The sequence below is a fragment of the Homo sapiens genome, chromosome 13 (assembly GCF_000001405.40).
Source record: "Homo sapiens chromosome 13, GRCh38.p14 Primary Assembly".
Taxonomy (NCBI): Eukaryota; Metazoa; Chordata; class Mammalia; order Primates; family Hominidae; genus Homo; species Homo sapiens.
The window spans coordinates 70,921,780-70,944,023 of NC_000013.11; the positions used below are offsets into that span (position 1 = coordinate 70,921,780).

The 22,244-nt window shown below is 35.9% G+C and overlaps 1 pseudogene; it reads left to right on the plus strand.

Moving 5' to 3' along the window:
- Nucleotides 1,880-3,831, plus strand: MTCL1P1 (MTCL1 pseudogene 1; annotated as a pseudogene).

The window sequence follows — 22,244 nt, forward strand, 5'->3', positions numbered from 1 at the left end:
CGTGTCTTTCAGTTCAAAATTTGAGGGTCTACAATACAAGTTATTAGGCACTTCCATATTTATTATGTTAATGTTTAGCAATAAAATTTTCCTCTTCATCCTTGTCTAAACTTCAACAAATTTCAACCAACCCACATTGTCTCAAGTAAAAAGGCTTAATATTTTTTAATAAATTATAATCTACGGATATACTAGATTTGAGGATTCACCAGATCACCAGGTATCATGGATCTTTTCCCTCCCTTTCTCCTTCTACTTTTATTTCTGCTCTACTTCTGCTTCTATGCTATCTCTTTTTCTCATTCCCCATAGCTGGGTTCTGCTTTTTTCCATGTAGGCTTAACTCTGAGAGAGGCTTATCCATTTCGTGATCCATTGCAGATCTACCAGAAAATAAAGAGCTTCTTTCCTTTTACCTTCAGAAAATACATACTATTAGCTATAATGGGACCATGTGTCCATTCCTGAACCAATCACTCAAGCAAAATAAATACAGTTGATGACTTAGCCATTCCTAAGTTTTGTATCCACTCTTGGAACTAAGCATAGAATCAGCTCCATCCAATTTTCATGGCCAGGAACAGGGGAATGAGAGCTTTCTCCGTGGCACATCTAAGAACTATGATGAAATTAGGATACTGGGTAGGCAGACAAAGAACACAGATCTCCCACAAGAGTTGGGAATGTAGTGAGAAGGCTTTTCACTCACCATAAAAAGCTTCAATAAAGGTATAACAGGAATGCAAAAAAAATTAGGGAAATAAAAACGGGAAAGTAGACCATGCTGGATGAAGAACTGACTATAAATGGGACAACTGGGAAAGTGAGTAACTAATCAAAGAGACTAGTAAATTAGGCAAAGGCACACAGGGTGGTGAATGCCAGGCTGAAGACCTGGGAGAGTGTGAAGCAATTTCAGCTTTGTTCAAAGGGAGAGGCTTGACCTGAACTTCCCCTTGGGGGAATTAATCCTCAGTAATGACCAGGATCGGCTGTAGTGTGGAAATTCTAAAGCAAAAGGTATCAATTAAATGATATTAAGCTACAGTAACTGGAGACTTAGGATTCTGGTTCTAGTAGACTGTGAGTAATCCAGTAAAGGTAAACGTTTCTAGTAACAGAAAAATTATGGAGCTGGGAAAGCAATGGGAATAAGTGGCTCAAACGTGAGCAAATATGTAAAACTTGAGTAACTAGGAAAATAGTGGAAAAAATTTGTCTAAACTCGGAAAAACATGAGGAGAACCTATTTGAGGATATGAAATGATTATATTAAATATATATAACTAAATGGACATTTCCAGTAGATTAAAATTTCGAGGACAAGATTTTGGCATCCTGTTTACAACTGGACTTATATTTCACTGCACCGTAAAATTTCGAGGTGGCAAGATTTATGAAAGCATCTTGTCATTTGATGGAATTACTTACAAAAATACAAGCTGAAACAACGTGAGAGCCCTAATAGGGAGGGAATATTTTCAGAAATAATAATAATAATAATTGCTAATAGTGCCTGACACTGTACCATCAATAAAAGTGAGGTAATATATTTGATAATAGCAACACGCAGTAATTAGTGTGCTTTGTCATTTTAAAGATTAGAAAACTGATGCATGGAGTAGTAAACCTAATAGCTGAAGTTCAAGCATTTGAGAAATATTGGGATTCCGATTGAAATACAGTCTGACTCTAGAGCCCAAACTCTGAAATATTACCAACATAAGTAATTCAGAAATGATTACATTTAAAATCTGGACCAAGAAGGCAGTCACAATAGAAAAGAAATAAAATGTGAGAGACAGCAGTACAGCAGTATCTCTTCATACAAGTTAGCACTTTCAAGGTGGTGGTGACCACATTAAAAAAGAGAAGTGATGGATGATGGGGACCCAGACTGTTCAGACCATCACTGTGGGCCTGCAGACTGAAGCCCTGCGTGGCAGGGGTGTCACCAGCAGCCCCCACAAGTGTCTCACGCCAAAGGCTGGGGGTGGTGCTACACCCATGTCTCTCCTTCCCGAAGACTTAGGAGCTGACAGGGGGCCCCTCCATCAAGAAGGTGCAGGCCAAGTTTGAACGCACATGCTGCTCCCCCAAGTACGTTTCTCCCAAGCTGCAGAGGGAGCCCCTCCCCAAAGCTGACCAGCCAAATAACAGGACGTCACCAGGGACAGCCCAGAAAGGGTACAGTGAGTCAGCCTGGGCCCGCTCCACCACCACCAGGGAGAGCCCCGTGCACACCACTATCAATGACGGCCTCTCCAGCCTCTTCAACATCATGGACCACGGCCCTGTGGTGCAGGACCCCTTCCAGAAGGGGATGCGGGCCGGCAGTCGGTCTTACTCAGCAGAACACCTACCAGAGCTGGGCCCAGGCCAGGAAAAGGCACCAATTCCCGAGAAAGGTCGCCTAGCCCCATTGGCGTGGGCTCAGAGATGTGCAGGGAGGAAGGGGGAGAGGGCACGCCAGCGAGGCAGGACTTACCCGCTCCCCGTGGCTACACACTGACTGAGAACGTGGCCCGGATCCTCAACAGGAAACTGCTGGAGTATGCCGTGAAGGAGGAGAGGAGGCAGGCTGCCCACGGGCCTCCGGGGCCCCACAGCGACAGCCACTCGCTGAGGGACACAGCCGAGCCAGGGGCCATGGAGGAACTACCTTGTTCTGCACTAGTTCGATCCCTAGAGACCTGCTTCTCCAGTTCCGAGAGGCCAGCAAACAGTCGCCCTCCGTCACGTTGGGCCCCATATTCCCCCGCTGCCTCACAACCTCAGTCACCCGGAGACCCGACGCCCTTGGAGCAGCACAGTGGCGAGGAGCCGTCCGAGGAGAAGCCACATCATGATGCAAGCTTGCATGGATTATCACAGTATAATTCACTGTCTTTTGCACAACCACACCATCGCCATGAACGAAACTCTGCCCAAAAGGAGAGATCTAGTTTTCTCAAGGTCAAAGAATGTTTTTTTAAAAAACACACAGCTGCTGAATGTTCAACCTGTGAAACTGAGATGTTTCTAAAATGACACAGTAAATGTGACTCAGAAATAAATAAATAAATAGCTCAGAAAACTATTTTTGTCTCCATCTTTTTTTTTACACACAGTATATTAAACAAAAAGGTAAATAAGGTATAACTAGATTTAAAAAATAAAAGTTTAAAAAATGTACACTTTAAGAGATTCTGGTCACCCTCGCTGTGAATACCTGACTACCTCTCTGTTAAATTTGCACCTTTACATTTTGGTTCGGTTTATTTCTATGTTGAATTAGAGTGGATTAAGTTAATTTTCTTTTGTCAGTGTTACTGTTTTTTAAGAATTTTTAAAGCTTCAAACTATCTGCTTCAGTGAACTTTTTGCAGTGAAAAAGCCATGAAGCCAGTAGACAAGACAGATATTCTGTATACTGAGGGCATACAGGACATCTTTGAAAAGGTACAAAGTCCTCATAGGGCTTAGAAAATTCACTGTATGATCCATATATTATCCTACTTGGCTTGCACATCTTCCAGTGCAGGTATATACTGCTACTGTGTCCTCGCCATCACCTAAATGTGACTCAGTCTGTTCCACTGTAATACGTTATGAATTTCCTTGTACTGTACTTTTATTGTTGGTCTTCTTGCATCGAAGATACAACAGCAACAACATTTTTAAATTATTTGTGAAAAGATTAACTGGCAATGTACAGAGTTTACTCAAAATGTTCTTGTTTAAGGGAAAACACTACGAAAAGTCACGAGGATACCAAATGGAAACACATGATGGTGGCTCTGAGTCTGTATGAGATTGTGATGAATTAGAAATAAAGCCTTTCTGAGATGGTGAAAAAAAAAAAGAGTGGTGAAACAAGCCATTCTCTGAATCAATGATATCAATTAGCATCCTACTAAGTGCATGATAGGATCTAGATTTTTTTTTTCAAAATTACTTCAAACAAACCAAAATGCTGAGTTGACACTGTTATCTAAACCTAAATGGTTAACTGTTAATATTAGCTTAAAATTTAATTTAGGGTACTAAGCCCATGAATATTTATCTATGTTGTTAAGACATATGCATACAAGTTACACTTTTTTTAGTAACCAAAATGTATTAAAATAAGAAAAATATTATACTATGTTCAGGAATCTCTGAGTATATCGTTATTTGCTCATTCAATGGGCCTTCCAATTGTGTTTTACATAATCATCAATAATAATGGATTTAAGCAGCAGGGGAAAATAAAAATCCCAGTCAAGATCAATAGAGTAAGTAATTATGTATGTAAGAGAATATGGAGCACGTTAGCCCTCAAAGCTAAGTTCCATGAAAGGAACTTATTCTTCTTAGTTAACCAAGGAAAATATAATATACAAAATATATAGATACTAGTAGCTCTAATGTTAACGTTTTAAATATATGAACTTAATTCTACCAAGGCAGAATGCTAAAGCCATAAGCTACCTTCAAGGTTGAATTACATACAGCCTCTGCAGCTTATTGAAACAATCTAAATTTTAATTTATTATACATGAGTACATTTACATCAAAAGCATAATGTTACTTTTCAAATTCACATTTAGATGAAAATAAGAGATTCAAAAAGCAGAATAAAGACATTGTGCTTTCTTCTTCTCCCTTGAAATCTACTAAAAACAACAAAAAATTACATAACACAAAAATAGCCAGTTGTACAAATATACTCCATATATGATATCAGCAACATTAATAAAGTACCTAAGAATAAACTAAATATGAAATGTCTAAGCCTTCATTGCAAAAACTATACATCTTTACTGACAAAGAAGACTGAAGTCCTGACTGCACATAAGAATATTAAAAACTTGGAACCAACCCAAATGCTCATTAATGATAGACTGGATAAAGAAAATGTGGCACATGTCATCATGGAATACTATGCAGCCATAAAAAGGATGAGTTTGTGTCCTTTTCAGGGACATGGATGAAGCTGGAAACCCTCACTCTCAGCAAACTAACATAGGAACAGAAAACCAAACATGCCATGTTCTCTCATAAGTGGGAGTTGAACAATGAGAACACATGGACACAGTGGGGGAACATCACACATTGGGACCTGTTGGGGGATGGGGGGCCGGAGGAGGGATAGCATTTGGAAAAACACCTAATGTAGATGACGGGTTGATGGGTGCAGCAAACCACCATGGCACATGTATACCTATGTAACAAACCTGTGCATTCTGCACATGTATCCCAGAACTTAAAGTATAATTTTAAAAAAAGAATATTAAAAAATATAGAAATGAGAATTGACTAATTAATCTATTAAGTCAATGTCTTTCCAAACTAAATCTAGGAATTTTTTATATCAATTGACACTATGAGTCTTAAAATTACATTACTTTAAAATTTTAAAAAAATAAAAATCAAATAAAAACATGTATACTATATTTCAGGCAAATTACAGATATATCATATTAAAAATACAATAATTATGTAAGAATGGGCATCATTATAATAAATAGAGCACAGACATTGATATATGGGTGAACTGGAATTTGGTATGTGATAAAGATATTATTTCAAACCAAATGTGAAAGAATGGACAATGAGTGAGGTTAGATTAGTTGGATATTTATTTAACAAAATAAATACTAATCACAAAACCTGCTTCATATCTCACTCAGTAATGAACTCTAAATGTTTTAAAAATTAAATATATAAAACTATAATTTTTTTTAAAATATAGTAGAATATATGTATAACCACAGGTTGAGGGATGCCTTTTTAAGTCTTCTCAACCCCTTAAAAAAACAAACAAAAAAATTATGAATATGAGGACATCAACACAGAAACAGATAAATGGGCAAATAAGTAGGAAAGAACAAATGAACCAATAGAAGGAAAGAAAAAAAGAACAGTAGGGGCAACACCCTGCTCTTGTTCTTACTGATGTTTCTTCCATTAACCATGCTCTAGCCAGGACATCTGTGCTACTGGACCCCAATTCTAGAATTCTGTTCACTCAGATATTCTCGTGAATATGTTTTATATTTCAATCTTTTTTCTGCTCTAAGCTAATATTCAAAGAGAGATCTTCCCTGATTACCCCATCTAAAATATCATTCTTGTTTTTTTCTTTTTAATCCCCTATCCAATTTTCTTTTATTGTCTGGAACTTTACTTGTGTTGTTATATAATTATTTATTTATAATTGTCTTCCATATTAGAATATGGGACTCACTAAAGCATGGTTCTTATGTTGTTCTCCACCATATCCCAGAATCCTAGATTTCCTGGCATATAGTAGGCCCTTTGCATACTTGTTGAATGAATGAATAAAAGAGAAATGACTAAAACATGACATATAAGAACATTTGACAAAATGGCATGCATAATTGTGTGCGTAATAATATTTCCCTTCTCTTTCACTTCCATTTCTTGCTCTTCAGGAAGTTTTGGTCTAGTAGGTGAATAAGACAAATATACAAATAACCAAAAAATATATCCATCATTATATCACATTATATTTACTTCATCTTTGTAACTTTTAAGATCTGTTAATAATCAATAACATAAAGAAAGTGTGTACCATTGTAAAGAGGGTACAATGTTCCTGCCGTTGTATTCTTTGATCATAAGAAAAAATAAATAAATTCAATTTGAGAACAAAGGCCAGAAAAACAACTTTTTCTAACTTTGCAATTTACACAAGCAGGTTTATTTTTTATTTTGTGCTAACTTCATGACACGTCTCAATGGGGAAATTACAGACACTGCAGGAATGAAAAGTAAACTCCATCCTTAACCTCTTTCCACATCCCATTAGCGGATAGCATACTAACTGTACATGTTCTAGGCAAGAAACTTAACAGAATGAGAATTATTTACAAATAAATCTATATTTCTCTTGCTAATAACAAACACCATGCTATGAATATCTGGTGATAATATACTAATAAGAAAAATCAATAAATTTACACTGACCATCAAAGTAATTGGTGCTGTAGAGTAGAAAATGATGTATCGTGCATTGATCGTTTAGTAATTTTCTAACTAAAAAGAAAAGAGGAAGCTAATTACTTTAGTAGGTGACTGAAAATAATAAGATTAAAACAAGCTAATTATATGTTCTTGAGTAATGACTTTCTTTGATGAAAGTAAATCAAGGAAAGGAATACTGTGATTTAGGCAAAGAAATATTCAATTTTACTAATTACAACATATTCTTGATCCATTTAACCACCCTTAACCCATTTTGAAGAAGCTTTAATGGAAACAGCAGACATTACTAAAGAGAAATACGTGACACATTTTTCCATAGCATGCAAGGAAAGCTGAAATTTCAAGATGTTTGTATTTGTGAAATTGAAATTTAAGAAATTACGGGGTAAAATGGCAAAAATCAGTTTAATTGCCTTTCTTTTACCAGTGTCAATAGTTTAAAAGAAAAGTAGTCAATGAAAGTGGAAGTTATTCATATCTAGAAACTACAAGGAAAGTATTAGATTCTAACAACAGAAAAAAGTGTTTACAAAATGTCATGTAAGAAATATGTAAAAAGTAAGAAATATAATCCAATCAACTTATTAGTTTTGTGAAAGCTCAATTTCAAAAAAAATTGAAAAAAATTGTAACCCAAGTGTTATGAGTTATATATCCAAGTATCTTTGGATATTTCAGGGTTCATAGAATATGCTGACCTGAACTATTCAGCAGGAACTGAAATTACTGCCACGGGAGTAATTTTTTTTTCTGCTCTCTCTTTGCAACCAAGTTTCACTAACTTTAATTTACTCACAAATTTCTTAATTTTAGTAAATTACATAGTATTGTGACTAAGTCTTTAGTACCATTATGAAATTATATAATCTATATTAAAATTATTGGCAAAATACATTACATTTGTAAAATTAATTATATATTAATCTAAGCTATGAAAATAAAGAAAATCCCCTGGAATGGATTAAGGTTGCAACTCAGCAATGGTAAGTTAAGCTTTATTTTCTTCATAGTATAAGTTTTAGAGAATTAAATAATCTAAACTCCCATATATTACATTATGTGAATTTAATAAAGGTCTCTGAAGAAGGTAATATACACACACAAATTGTGAACTCGTACTTATCAGAGAAATTCAGCTTGCATACGGATAAAATGAATCTCAGCAAAAAAAGAGGAGCTTGTGACTGATGCATGGGAACTGGGACACCGAAATTATTTTTTCCAAACAAGACATGAAATGAAGGTAGCCCTCAATTTTCTGTAGAAAAACGCTCTTTTAATCTTAACATTCAACAAACATTCATGCAGTACCCTGATAGAATAGTGCTGGAGATACCAAGAAAAGGAGCAACAATTCTTTATGTCTGGTAGTTTATACTCCAGTGGTGATGACAGAAATTGAGAGAGAATTAAAATGTTGGGTGGAGAATGGGTGTTACAACAGAGTTATTTACAGGTTATTATGGAAGCCAGTTGTCATGTTATCCAATTTACCAGAGAGGGTCCCTGAGGATAATAGAGGTCACAAAGTTTGGCTTAAATATCCTCTACCTGTGAGTTATGTGTTATTAGTATTTGTGTGTTAAGGTGTATAAAGTGGGTCACAAGATCCAACTCTGGAGCAGAGTTTTTAAGTTAAGAAAAAAATAGATACATAGATTGATAGAAGGATAGATAGATAGATAGATAGATAGATAGATAGATTTAATATAGATTTAACATAATATATAATTAAATCAAATTTTTACCTGGCTTGTTATTTATTTGTTATTTGTTCATTCATTATCTTTTTTCTTTCTTTCTTTACTTGACTGGGTCAAGTAAATTTGTAAGTAAGTTAAATTTGGTGCTTATCTGTAATAACTGCACAATAACTTACAAAATGAATTTTTGTGTAATATACTTTATCTTCTTCTCATTTTCCCTGTATACTAACTTTTAAAAATAGATATTCACTAGAAGTCATGTGTAATATTTTAAGTACATTTTGGAATAAGACAGAAAATAATTGGTACATAAAGAGTTATTTTTATTATTAGCGAATCATGTTCTAAACACCCAACCAGATTATTTCACAACAAGTCCTGAAATTTTGCAGATGCAGTAGAACGATGTCTGAAGAGGAACAGTTTGTGATTTTAGAACCAAAGTTTAACAGATTAGTAATCATAGACAGAGATATTTTTTAATGGATAGAGATAAAAATCAATAAGACAATGAACATTCCTTAGAGACAATTTAAAATACTTTGAAATTTCATTCATTCATAATAGGTTTGAAATATTATCTCTCTTATTGCAGTTATGAGGAAAATTTTATTATTAGTTATATTACTTTATAAGGCCTTTGGTTTGGGAAAAGATATTTTAATGTGTTTTGTAATTTCAACGTCCAAATACTTGAAAAAACATTAGGATATAAAAAATTAAAGTAATTCAACTCACATCTAATCACTCCATATTATAGTCATGGGGGCTCCAGAATCAGCAGCAGAGCTTGTTAAAAAGGTGGATTTCTGCCTCTTCCACTGCCCTCTTGTGATTTCTATTCAGTAGGTCTGAGACGGGAACTGCCATCATTTGTTGGATAACTCCTGAGTGATATGAGGCAGGTGGCCCACATTGCTTACCTTGAGAAATCATGCTATGAAGAGAGCCTCAACAGTTCTGGGGGAAGGCTTTCATTTTTCACATTTTACAGATTGGGCAGTGGGTTCATAGTGGTAAGTTCCGCTATGGTATAAGTTCCAACACTTAATACCAACTAAGTGTTGGAACTCTAGAGTTCTAAATGCGATAATCACAGTCCACATGAACAAAATGTTTTACAGCATGGCTTGAATTTGATATCTGGATCTTATATTTTTATATAGTCCCTTCTGAAGACATCTAACACTTGCTCACATCTTTCAAAATGATTTACAAGCTTTTCTGGTACACAATAACAGCCTGTTTTTGTGTGTCACTTGCTTTTAGATTGCAAGTTTTTTGTGTCACTTGCTTTCAGATTTGTTTTTCTCCCTTTATGCTGAGTGGTATCTTACTTGTTTTCAGCACTGGCCAGAAAATCTGCACATAATGAAAATATATATTTGATCATCACTGAGCTATTGACAACACTAGATTGTGAGTGTTTTAAAAACTTATTGCTGCAATACAACACAGGTAACTTTCTTCATCTGCTTTCATTCCTCAGCTTCTGTAATAACAATCAGTTTTTCTGCAGGTGGAAATGCCTTTTAGTTTGCATAATTCTGTACTGCAATATTGTACCATATTGAAATATGATGAAACTTTTGTTTAAGATGAATAAGTGATAAAATGTTTTACAGAATTTATTTTTTCCAATGTTGCCGTAATGCTCTGTTACAAAAACAAATAATGAAAAACATCATCATTAACACTCAAAAAAGAACCATAAGGTTAACATGTTTGCTTTTACTGTAATATACTGTATATGATTTGACATTATAACAGTAAAAAGCAAATGAAAACTAAAATAATGAAGAGCTTTTCTCAACTCTCATTGAGAACACAAAACAAAACAAAACAGAAACTTGAATAGCACCTTGACTAAAATTGCTTACTTTGTTCTCAAATTAATTTTCTAAAGTAGGCTTATAAACAACCGAAAAGATATGGTCAGTACATAGACTTCCATAATGTTTCTTATGGATATCTCTCTAATACATTTTATGGTAAAAACAAATATTTGAAGGTATATATTCCCATTTTCAGACACAGTGTAGAGTTACATTTTGTCATAGTGTAGTTACTAAATTTCAGAAACCCTTTCTCCACAAGCGGAAATGGGAGAAAAAAGTCAAATAAGGATCCAGCAATAAATATTGCTGGTACAATAGAGAAAATTAAGGTAAACAAACTTTTAAAACTAAATGACCGAATGACTAAACAGTGACTAGGGAGTTAGTGACTACCTTAGCACCACAGTTGCATGTGGCCTGTGGGATAGCTCTCAGGCTTGTTTTACATATTTCCAAAGATCCCACAGGATTAAACTCCATTTGCCTTCAGTATTAACTTGCTTAACAGCACACAGTTTATTTCCTCGCATAACTTCCCTCTCCCACTTTTCCTCTCTACTACTAGTTTTATCTAAATCTCATCTCAAGATCTGCTTCTAGAAAACCCTACATAAGACAAAGGATGAGAGGAACAGAAGTTGAAAAAATGAAGAAGGTATGAAAGATATATGCCTCTGCAAAAGATATAGAGATGTCAAAGGAGCATGATTCAAGCAAATGCAAGTAATCGTCATAGCTGGGGATGAAGAGGTGTCTTGTGGTGCGATATGAAGCCAGAGAATTTTGGTAAAGACTGAATCGTGACATGCTTCATATTTGATACTAACGAATAGAGATTTTGTCAGACAATGAATAATTTTAATAATGAAAGATAAATATTTGATTTGTATTTTACAAATTATGAAAAAAAGTATACCTATGATTGTGTCATACCTATGATTCATAGAATGGTGTAAGTGTAGCATAACAAGAGAACAGAATTTGTTTCTTTTTCCTTTTCTGTTTGCTCTCCCTGCTACCACTGTGATACAGTTTGTCTCTATGAATAATTGACCAATATACCTCTCTATGGTCCAACAGTGTCAATAGAGAAAAATATATATGGAACATTTATATATATTTTTATAAAGTATTTGTTTTCATTTAAAATAATAAACCTTTTTCACCATATCCAAAGATTTGGGAATGTCTCACATATTCTTCTTCAATTTTGTCATTATTTATGAACTTGCTAAGCCTAAAAACATAAAGGAATTGAGAGAAAACATATTTCTAAAATACATTTCATTATAATTAATTGGTTTTAGTAGGAAAAATGCTTTGAAATAACATGTTTTCAGTTCAGTGCAATACAGCAAACATATGGAAAGATGCTGACGTTGGAATATTGAATTTAAAAAGTTTATCACAGATTTCTAAGATATCACAACTGTGTGGGGGGATAATATAAATCTAATAAGGATGAAGAAAATTTCAATATGACAAAAGTGAAATAAAATTTTAGTTATTATACAGAAAGGATGGGCTGAAATTTCCCTTAAACTACCAGAGAGAGTATATATTAGGCAAAAGGCATAAAGTAAGAGGGCACCTGTTCTAATACGTCTAAAAGATAAATACAGAGTCCTTCCTCAGGGGCACCTTCCTAACCTTCAAGAGTTCAGGGTGGTGCCTGACTCATGTCTAAAATTGGGGAAAAGTCCATGAACGTCTAATATAGTGTCTGAAGTCTTCTGTTTGCCAAAACCAGAAGTTTGTTTCTTTCCTTTTCTGTGGCCAATATATAAAGTGCTAGTACTTTGTCAAGTTTATTTGTGGTAATCCCATAATTCATGGGATATAACCAGGGATGTCAGTGTCAGTTGGTCCCCAGGGATGTGATTTTGTTGTTGTTGTTGTTTTGAGACAGGGTCTGGCTCTATTGCTTAGGCTGGAATGCAGTGGTGCCATCATGGTTTACTGTTGCCTCAAACTGCTAGGCTCAAGCAATCCTCCTGCCTCAGCCTCCAAAGTAGCTGGGACTATAGGTGCATACTTAGATAATTTTTTAATTTTTATTTTTTTTGTAGAGACAGGGTCTAGCTGTGTTGTCCAGGCTGGTCTTTAACTCCTGGCCTCAAGCAATCCTCCCTCCTTGGCCCTCCAAAGCACCAAGATTACAGGCACAAGCCACCTTGCCCAATCCCAGAGATGTGATTTTTAAATTTACCCTGCTGCCACCATACCAGGTAGTCTGTGACAAGTCTGTTCTTCCATTAACATTGGGGAAGCCATTTCAGTTCCATTTTATCAGTTGACATTCCTCTGGCATGTGAAAACAGAGAGAAACTGTTCTAGAGGTTATCCCTTCAATCTATTTCTCATACGGAATTTAGCTCTTTTCTCTAGACTAATAATGAAATAAAAAGTCAAGTTTGGTTTAGAAATGTCTTTGGACAATAACGCAGCATTAGCTGAAAGCTAATAATATACCACTAGGCTTAAGAGTCTAGGTTCTGGAGCCTGTACTGACTAGTGGAGAGGGAAATTTTTAGATAACCATAACTTCCAATAGTGTATGTTGCTCTTAAATGATTTAAAAAGACAGGATTGGATAGAGCTATATACAGATTATTGAGTAGTGGCAAATATTTTACAATGATTGGTGAAAAGGAGGGTGGAGAAGTAATCTAAAGATAGATACTTTGGAATGGCTATCACATCTGAGATTATAGATCTCTACTGTAGATTCTCACACAAAGAAATGTACCAGAGACATCATACGTTTTTAAATAACCCAATGGTCAGGAAAAACAAATTTTTAAATAACTTCAACTTTTATTTTAGATTCAGGGAGTACGTGTGCAGGTTTGTTACATGAGTATATTGCATAACACTGAGATTGGGGTACAAATGGTCACCACCCAGGTAGTGAGCATAGCACCCACTAGGTAGTTTTTCAGCACTTACCCTTCTCCATCACTTCTCCTTTTGGTAGTCCCAGTGTCTAATTTTTCTCATCTTTATATCCACATGTACCCAATGCTTAGCTCCCACTTACAAGTCAGAACATGTGGTATTGGTTTTCTGTTTCTACATTAATTTGCTTAGGATGAATGGCATCCAGCTGCATCCATGTTGCTGCAAAGGACATGGTTTTATTCTTTTTTATGGATGCATAGTATTCCATGGTGTATATGTACCACATTTTCTTTATACAGTCTACCATTGATGGGCATTTAGGTTGATTCCATGTCTTCACTATTGTGAATGGTGCTGCAATGAACATATGTGTGCATGTGTCTTTATAGTAGAATGATTTATGGCTGCATACTATCCCATGGTGTATATGTACCACACGTTCTTTATGCAGTCCACCATTGATGGGCACCTAGGTTGATTCCATGTCTTCGTTATTGTGAATGGTGCTGTGATGAACATACAAGTCCATGTCTTTGTTATTGTGAATGGTACTGTGATGAATATACAAGCGCATGGTAAAACTACTTATTTTCCTATGGGTACATACCCAGTAATGAGATTGCTGAGTTCAGTGGTAGTTCTGTTTTAATTTATTTGAGAAATCTCCAAACTGTTTTCCACAGTGGCTGAAAACATTCCCACCATCAGTATACATTTGTTCCCATTTCTTCACAGTCTACAATCTTGCCAAGTCTTGCCAGCATCTGTTGTTGTTTTTTTTTTTTTATTTTTAGTAATAGCCATTCTGCCTGGTATAAGATGGTTTCATTATGGCTTTGATTGCAGAGTTGGGCTTGGTTAGTGCTTGGAGGGGAAGATAAACTATTTTAAGGGTGTTTGTAATTTGCCTTTTCTGCCAGCCTAGTGGTACCAAAAAATGACTTCATAAACAAAGCATCCATGGGTACAGGGATGAATATCATTAGTCAACAAATATTTGTTAAATTCCTGTCCTGTGCCAGACCTAGCTCTTGATTTTTATAACACAGTAATGAAACTACTAAAAAAGACAAAACAGCAAAGAATCTTATTCTTTTGAAAATTCTGTTACAGTGGATTATGGACATTTATGGTTTAAAAAAACAGACTCTACGACATTTCCTTACCAAAGGTGAGCTGACTAGAGTCACTGCTGAGTTCCCAAACATGGAGCAGCCCACAGCTTGTGGTAAGTTTCCATATATCTGGGCCTTAGGAGACAATATTATAGCCCCCTTCACCAAGGGGGAAAGACCTAGTTAGCAATTCTTCTCATAGTAACACACATTCATTCTTAATTTGGACTTTTTTTCCTGCCTTATCCTTCCTAGAAATACTCATTGAATGACATCCTGCCAAACATAGTATCCAAGTTTACTTCACGGTGTGAAGTAATAGGAACCACCTTGGTATTCACTTGTCTTAGCTTGCACTTGGTTATCTAATACAGAACCAAATGGCCTTGTAAAACAGTAGAAAGGACAATTAAAAATTGGCTATTGTTAACAGCAGGCAGACAATTATCTCGTGAGGCTAAAGTACTTTCTTGTGACATATAGTATATGCTTTGAGGCAGAGAATATGATTTGCTTTTGTCCCAAATCCAGATAACAGGGATGGAAGTAGAGGTGACACTTTTATTATAATATCTATGACAAGCTTTGAGTCTCATTTTAGTGCTCAAGGGAGGAAAAAATTGGTGAATCTAATAGGGGTTCCACTGAACTGGGGATTTCTGGAAATGAGCCTGAGGTCAATTTGCACTTACTGTGTCACTAACAAAACAAGCAAATAAAAAGAATGAAGTTATTTTGATGCTGGGAAAGAGTCTATCAAAAAGGAATAGTAATAATACTGCATTGTGAATTTCAGAAGGATTATAAATATCAACTAAGGTACACTTTGAAATATTTTACATCATAATCATGAAAAAAGTGATCAACCACAATTCAGTTACTTTCAATTGATCAAACATTATAATTTGCGTGTGTCACTTCTCATTAATTCTTATGTTGGCTCTGACATTATTATTACAATAACTTATCCACCATCATATTTCCACTTCAAATTTACTGTTGCATTTATTCCCGCATTTACTCATTCACTCCACACACATTTCTTTGTACCTAGCTAAGGGAATTATTGGTTTCTACAAAGATACAATGGTAAATTTCTGCCCTCAATAAGTTTGCAAAGTTTAGTTGTGAGATAAATGAATTAGAAAAGTTATTATAAAATTTGGTAAGCAATGAATTAGAGGATAGGGCTTGCGGATGTTGACAGGCAGGCAAGAATGAAAGATGCTGTCATAAAGAAGTGACCTTGAGTTGTGTTGAAAAATTTGTTGAATATCAAGCATAAGAATCATTGCAGAGGACTTTGGGGAAAAGATGTGGACAAGGCATGTAGGAAAGATAGTATGGCATGCACAGGAAATTATAAAAGCATATGTTGGCTAGCGGGTGTAGAAAGATAATATTAAACTCATTAATACACACTCCTGTACGTGTGATACAATGCTCAAAACGAATTAGTAGACTAGAAAAGAAGACATATGAAGATATGAAGTCCTTTTTCTTTTCTTTTCTTTCTTTTTTTTTTTTTTAAACGGAGTCTCATTCTGTCACTCGGGCTGGAGTGCAATGGCGCAATCTTGGCTCACTGCAAGCTCTGCCTCCCGGGTTCAAGTGATTCTCCTGCCTCAGCCTCCTGAGTAGCTGGGATTGCAGGCGCCCGCCACCACGCCAGGCTAATTTTTGTATTTTTAGTAGAGACGAGGTTTCACCATATTGGTCTTGAACTCCTGACCTCAGGTGATCTGCCTGCCTTGGCCTCCCAAGTGCTGGGATTACAGGCGTGAGCCACCGCGCCCGGCATCTTTAGTGTTATTTTTATGAATTAATGTTGTGTCTTCAGAGGAACGCTGTATGATACACAAATATTACATATAAAAACAAAGAAGATACTTTAATATATGAAGTCACTCAAACGCTGCACATTTATCCAATTAACTGTTATTCAAGAAATGCAGAGTTTTGAATGAAAGAGACAGCAGGTAGTTAAAGTTGAAGGAGAGAAACGAACACATTTGGGATCTTCTACTGCGTAAATTGTTTCCCAAAAAGGTTAATGTGAAAGAGATGTTGCATAAATAGGTAGTAGTGGGCTCTGAACGTTTAGAATTGAGGATAAATTGGGGATAATACAAAAATAAATTGTCTTCTTTATTGTTGAGTTTAAACCTGATTGTAACTAGTCCCCAAAATATGTCTTCGCTTTGCTTTGGTAGTTTATATTCCCAGAGCAACTGTGATAAAAACCTTCCAGACTTCTACCTACAAGCAAAGAGAGTATTTATACTAATCCAGGCAAAATTAAAAAAAAAAAAGTTCTAATACATGACATTCTAATAATCTGCAATCTTGCAATTTTATGAAAACATTTTATTTTTCTTCAAATGCTTGCAAACATTTTTAATATCCTATTTTTCAATTCAGAAAATTACTGAATTTGAGTTTCAACTTGAAAATATTATGAGTTTCAGGGCCTACATTTATCATTTTCCCCCAATAGACCAGTGATTAATCAACTCATGCTTATCACTTTTATTAACTGACTTCAGCTTCTCTTTAAGAGAGGGAAGCTTTTAGTTGTAAGAAGTAATTATTTTTCTTTTTAAAAACCACACAGCAATCCTTAAATAAATTAAGTTATCATCTTTATCAATTACCACATTATCTGTTGTAAACTGGTCAGCAGAATTAGTCACACAATTAATGTTCCTATTTCTTCCTGAATATACTTCTAAACCCTCCATAGGAAATGCTTTTTTCTTCTTTTAATGTGGCCTCAGTCACAAACTGACATTGCTTTTGAATGCGTGTGATTAGCTTGAGAGACGCTAGCTTTTGTAACAAATAGACCCCAAAATATATGTCGCAAATACATTTGAAGTTTGTTTTTTTTCCTCTTATAACCATTCAATGGGAGTATTTAGAACAAGCAAACAGCTTTTCCATATGCATGATTCATGGGCCTGTGATACTCAGGAAATTATTAGAGCCTTAGGGAGTTAATCAAGGAAATTGCCCCTGGTGGAGAAGGTGTCTTACAAGGCTTGCCATCAGCATTTTGTTATTGCTAACAGTGACTTCTTCGGGTCTCACAAAATTTTCCTTTTTCTGAAAAAGTGTTTTTATTGTATTTTCTTGTTTCTGCTTCAAAACAGTATATTAAGTATTTGAGGGGAGCACAATGAGGGGACAGGTATAAGGATGGGAGTAGGTAACAAGTGTTTTAGCCCAGGTCAAGAGGACCCGTATTCAGACGTGATGAAGAAAACCGGGATGCATGACCCTGAACTATAGTCATGAACTCAATGGGATTTTAGATTGAGTCTTTTGGGGAAAGAATGATTGTTTTCTGTCTCTGGAAAGTAAAATTTGCGCAGATATTTGTGGTGAACCGTGGCAGAGACTTAAATCTCCTCCAAGATCAGAGTTTCTCTCTTCTTCCTGGGCACAGAGCTAGACATTTCCAAGTCCACTTGTATTTATTGTGTTACCATGACGTAGCCAGTGACATACGATTGGGAAAAAATGTGTCCTGTTCTGGCCAAAGCTTTGGCTAGTAGAAGACTCAAAAGGAGACAGGATTGTAGTCTCCTGAAAAACTAAGTGGAAGAAAGTCTCCTACGTATGAGCTGTATTTCAACAATTAAGCAAGAAAAAAACAAACTCCCATTGTACTCAGTCATTCAAATTTTGTGGTTTATTAATGCTAGATTACCTAAAGTAGCAAATACCGATCATAGACATGGAAATGGGATGCTAAGAATTTGCAGAGGCTGTTGCAAGCGGAATGGGTTAGGAATTAGGTTAAGAATTAGAACCAAAGTTGGGTACAAGGAAAAAGTATCTTTTTTATTTTTCTCCAGTGAGTCCCATTAACTAAGTTATAAATGACATCTTTAACAGGGCCATTAAGCTTTCCTGATCTGGCCACTGTGAACTCTGCTGCCCCTTCTACCTCACGCTTATATTAGCTATAATCCAACCATACTGTTTTTTTGTTTCAATTTCTTTAATGTTACATGTTTACCTCCACCCTCTGCCACCATATCACAGATTTATTGGACATTATTGTTGCCTCAAATACAATATTTTTAATTTGTCCAGTCACTTATGCAAACTTTACATCCTGGGATGTAGAACTAAGCCTCATGCTATTAGACTAGAGCATATGCCTCTGATACTTGTTTCACAACACCTGCTCTGCATACTTACATTTAACAGATAATCACTTACTCTCTGCATACTAGGCATGATATTAGGGTTTGAGGATACTTGAGGATATAATGGTGAGCTGGAACAGATATGGTGAACAATCTCCTGGAGCTTAAATCAATGACTATGATATGTTAGAAGAATCATTTTATAAGATTTTAATTAGATGTATTGGATCTGAAAGAAAGTTGTACAACTTGTGTTTAAGTGCAGTTTTTGCAGAGGAAATATTCATGGAGATGAGATCAGGAGGAGAAGGAATATTTAAATAAATGGGGTCAGGTGTAGTGGCTTACGCCTGTGGTTCCAGCTACTTTGAAGGCTGAGGGTGGGAGGATCGCTTGAACCTGGAAGGTTGAGGCTGTAGTGAGCCGTCATCATGCCATTGCACTGCAGTGGGTGACAGAGTAAGACCCTGTCCCCCCAAAATTTTGAAAAGTGGCACAGTAGACATACAAGTACTCTTCTTGTGGCACATCTAATTTGCGTGTCTAGCCGTGGCTTTCTTGAATTTCAATCAATAATAAATACATTAGTGGGACACAATAGGTTACACCCAATACCAGTTTGTTTTGCTTTAAGAGAGGTAACAGGATAAACAGGATCACAAAGTTCATGACAAAAGCATAATAGAAGTCTCATAACCCTCTGGAACTCCACACTTGGGATGCTTACAGTGCCAAAGAATTGGTGGATACAAAATAGCAGGTCAGGGATTCAGTCAGTTGCAGGATTCTTTGGAATTTATATTTTACTGGTTCTCTACCCCTCAGGGATATGTGAATGGAATCCATTCTCCAATGCAGCTGTACTTCATTATTACCAGTTACTCTTTACTCCTTTATTCAATAAATTACTTCAACAATGAGGTACAGGTGCTTGCTTCTGGATGTAGTATTCTCAGTCAGCTTCTCGTTTATCTAAGATTCCATATCTGTCTATAGATGCCTTGATTTTACATTGTGATGAGGATTAGCTCAAGGGTCAAATCTTCAGGCTTCCATCAAGTTAAAAGAATGGCTGTAAAACTAGTGGTTAGCTCTTGACTTTCACCCTGACAAAGTGAATATACAACACTGAAAGACCTTGGTGTTGATTCGAAGGTAGGGAGTAGACATGTTATGTAACCTAGAGAACAGGAAGAATTCCAAAGAGCCCAGAGGGCAAAGGGCAATGGGTAAAGTGGTACAAGAGGAGACTGAAGAGATAAACATAGTTAAAATAAAAAACAACTTCACCTGTGTTAGGAAAATTATTTTTTATGAAAACTGGGAAATTATTGAAGGGCTTTAATATGTGTGGGGTTTAATGGTGTGATTTTATTTTGAAAAAGTAAGTCCAGTTGCAACATAGGTACTTATATTAAAAGAGAAAACGCCAGGCTATGGGAAGTATCTAAGCAAATGTTATTGTTAAGACAAATGCAAAAGATGAGATAATGTATGTAGGGATGTTGTGTATAAGTTTACGAATTATTTAAAATGGCAGAATTGACAGAATTTGCTGAGTTTTGGTGTCACAATGGGAGAGCACATGGTAGGAGAGAGTTCCAACTGAAGGTTTTATAATATCACTCACTGTTGCAGAGAACATAAGAAAACCAGTGTTGAGAGGAATATTATGAATTTTACCTTGGACTTATTAATTTTGAGGTATACTTTAAAAATCTAAATAGAAGTATCCATTTGCAGAAGGATATGCATTTCTAAAACTCAGGGAAGATCTGTGGGATGAGGCTATGGCTTTGGAAGCCACAACTGGAAGCCATAGACCTGTAAGCAGTCATAGAAGCCATTGGCATGAATGAAATTAGTTGGAGTATAAAAGTGAAAAAAAAAATGAAACAGAATCAATCAATACAATGGATCTTATAGATGTCCAATATACACTGGTCGGTTAATAGAGAATAAATTTGCCAAGTAATCTATAGGGTAGTGGCCAATGAAGAATTGGGAAAACCTGGAGTGTGGCATTTAGGCAACCAAGAGAAGTGTATGTTTTACAAAAGCTACAGAAGCCAGATTTGATTTAGAGACCATGTAAGGGATAGTAATGTGACAGGAACAGTGAGGACAGCCAACCCTTCAGAGTAGTTTGACTGTGAGGGAAGTAAACTAGGGCATTTGCTGGTAGAATATAAGAAGAAAGTAAATAATTTTATAACAAGAAAAATAATGGATCATGTACAGTTCTTCAACAACCAAAGGAGCTAAAAATGGTTAAAGGAAATTAAAAGGCCAAGACTAAGTTTCTATTTGACTGGAGACAAGTCTGGATGTCCCTGGTGGTTTATTTCCTTTCCCTTTGGGGTTTCTTAGCAGAAAGCTGGCTCAGCTCGCTCGCTACGGCAGTCTGCAGAGAGAAGGCCTTGGGCTGATAACAGCTTCCTAGCAGGCAAGTTAAGGGCCCTGAGTCTTCATACTCTAGTATTTTTTTTCTGAGTGTGGAGATCTTTTAATGATACATTTCTTTTACTTCAGCATTTCCTTACCCCTTAGGCTAACCTGTAAATATGTAAGACAGTGGGGCACAAGCATGGGAGAAGCTGGTTACCTCTTGAAGAACCCCTTTCTTCATAACATATCCCATGTCCAGCCTGTGACTGAGGCAGGCTTCCTCTGCTAGAATCTTGGCCATGGCACATGTAGAACCACTATGCCTAGTCTACACTATGGACAAATGAGAATTCATGGGACTGAATCATATCCGCTTTTCTACTTCTCTGCTAATAAGCTATTTCTTTTCCTAATAAATCATTTTGTTTGTGACACTAGAGTTGTGTATTTGTTACACTCTTGTCAGACACTAGTTCAAATTTTAATCGTGGTAGATAAAATGGTCATCAGCTGTACATATCAGTTGTAGTTGCACTACACTCTATTATATTCCAATACACAGGCCCCCACAAAATATCTTCAGAACATGTCTAACATGTCTCCATATTATTACAACCACACTCACACAACTGAATTTTATAGATTCTTTGTCCTTCTAAGAAATAAGAAAATTTAAAAATTTTACATTTTTTAACCAAGAGACATCAACAAAAAAAGTCAATCAAACAAAGCCTTTTCCATCTCTCACTTGCCACATATTAATTATCCATAGAAAAACAAATCCCAAATTAACCTAGAGTGGCTTAACCATGTCCAAAAAACAATTTATATATCGTCACAAAGTTTGAATGTTACTTAAAGCTTCATCTACTTTAAATATTCCTTTGTTCCAAGTTAGCAAAATCATCTGTCTCAGTCCATTTGGGCTCTTATAACAAAATGTCTTAGATGGGGTAATAATTTGTAAAAACAGCAGAAATTTATTGCTCACAGTTCTGGAGGCTGGGAATCCAAGATTAAGGAGCCACAGATTCAGTGTCTGATGAAGGCCCTCATATGTGATGCCTTCTTGCTGTGTTCTCCTACGGTGGAAGCACGGAAACAGACTCCCTCAAGTCTCTTTTGTAAGGTCATTAATCTCATTCATAAGGATCTCCTAAAGGCCAC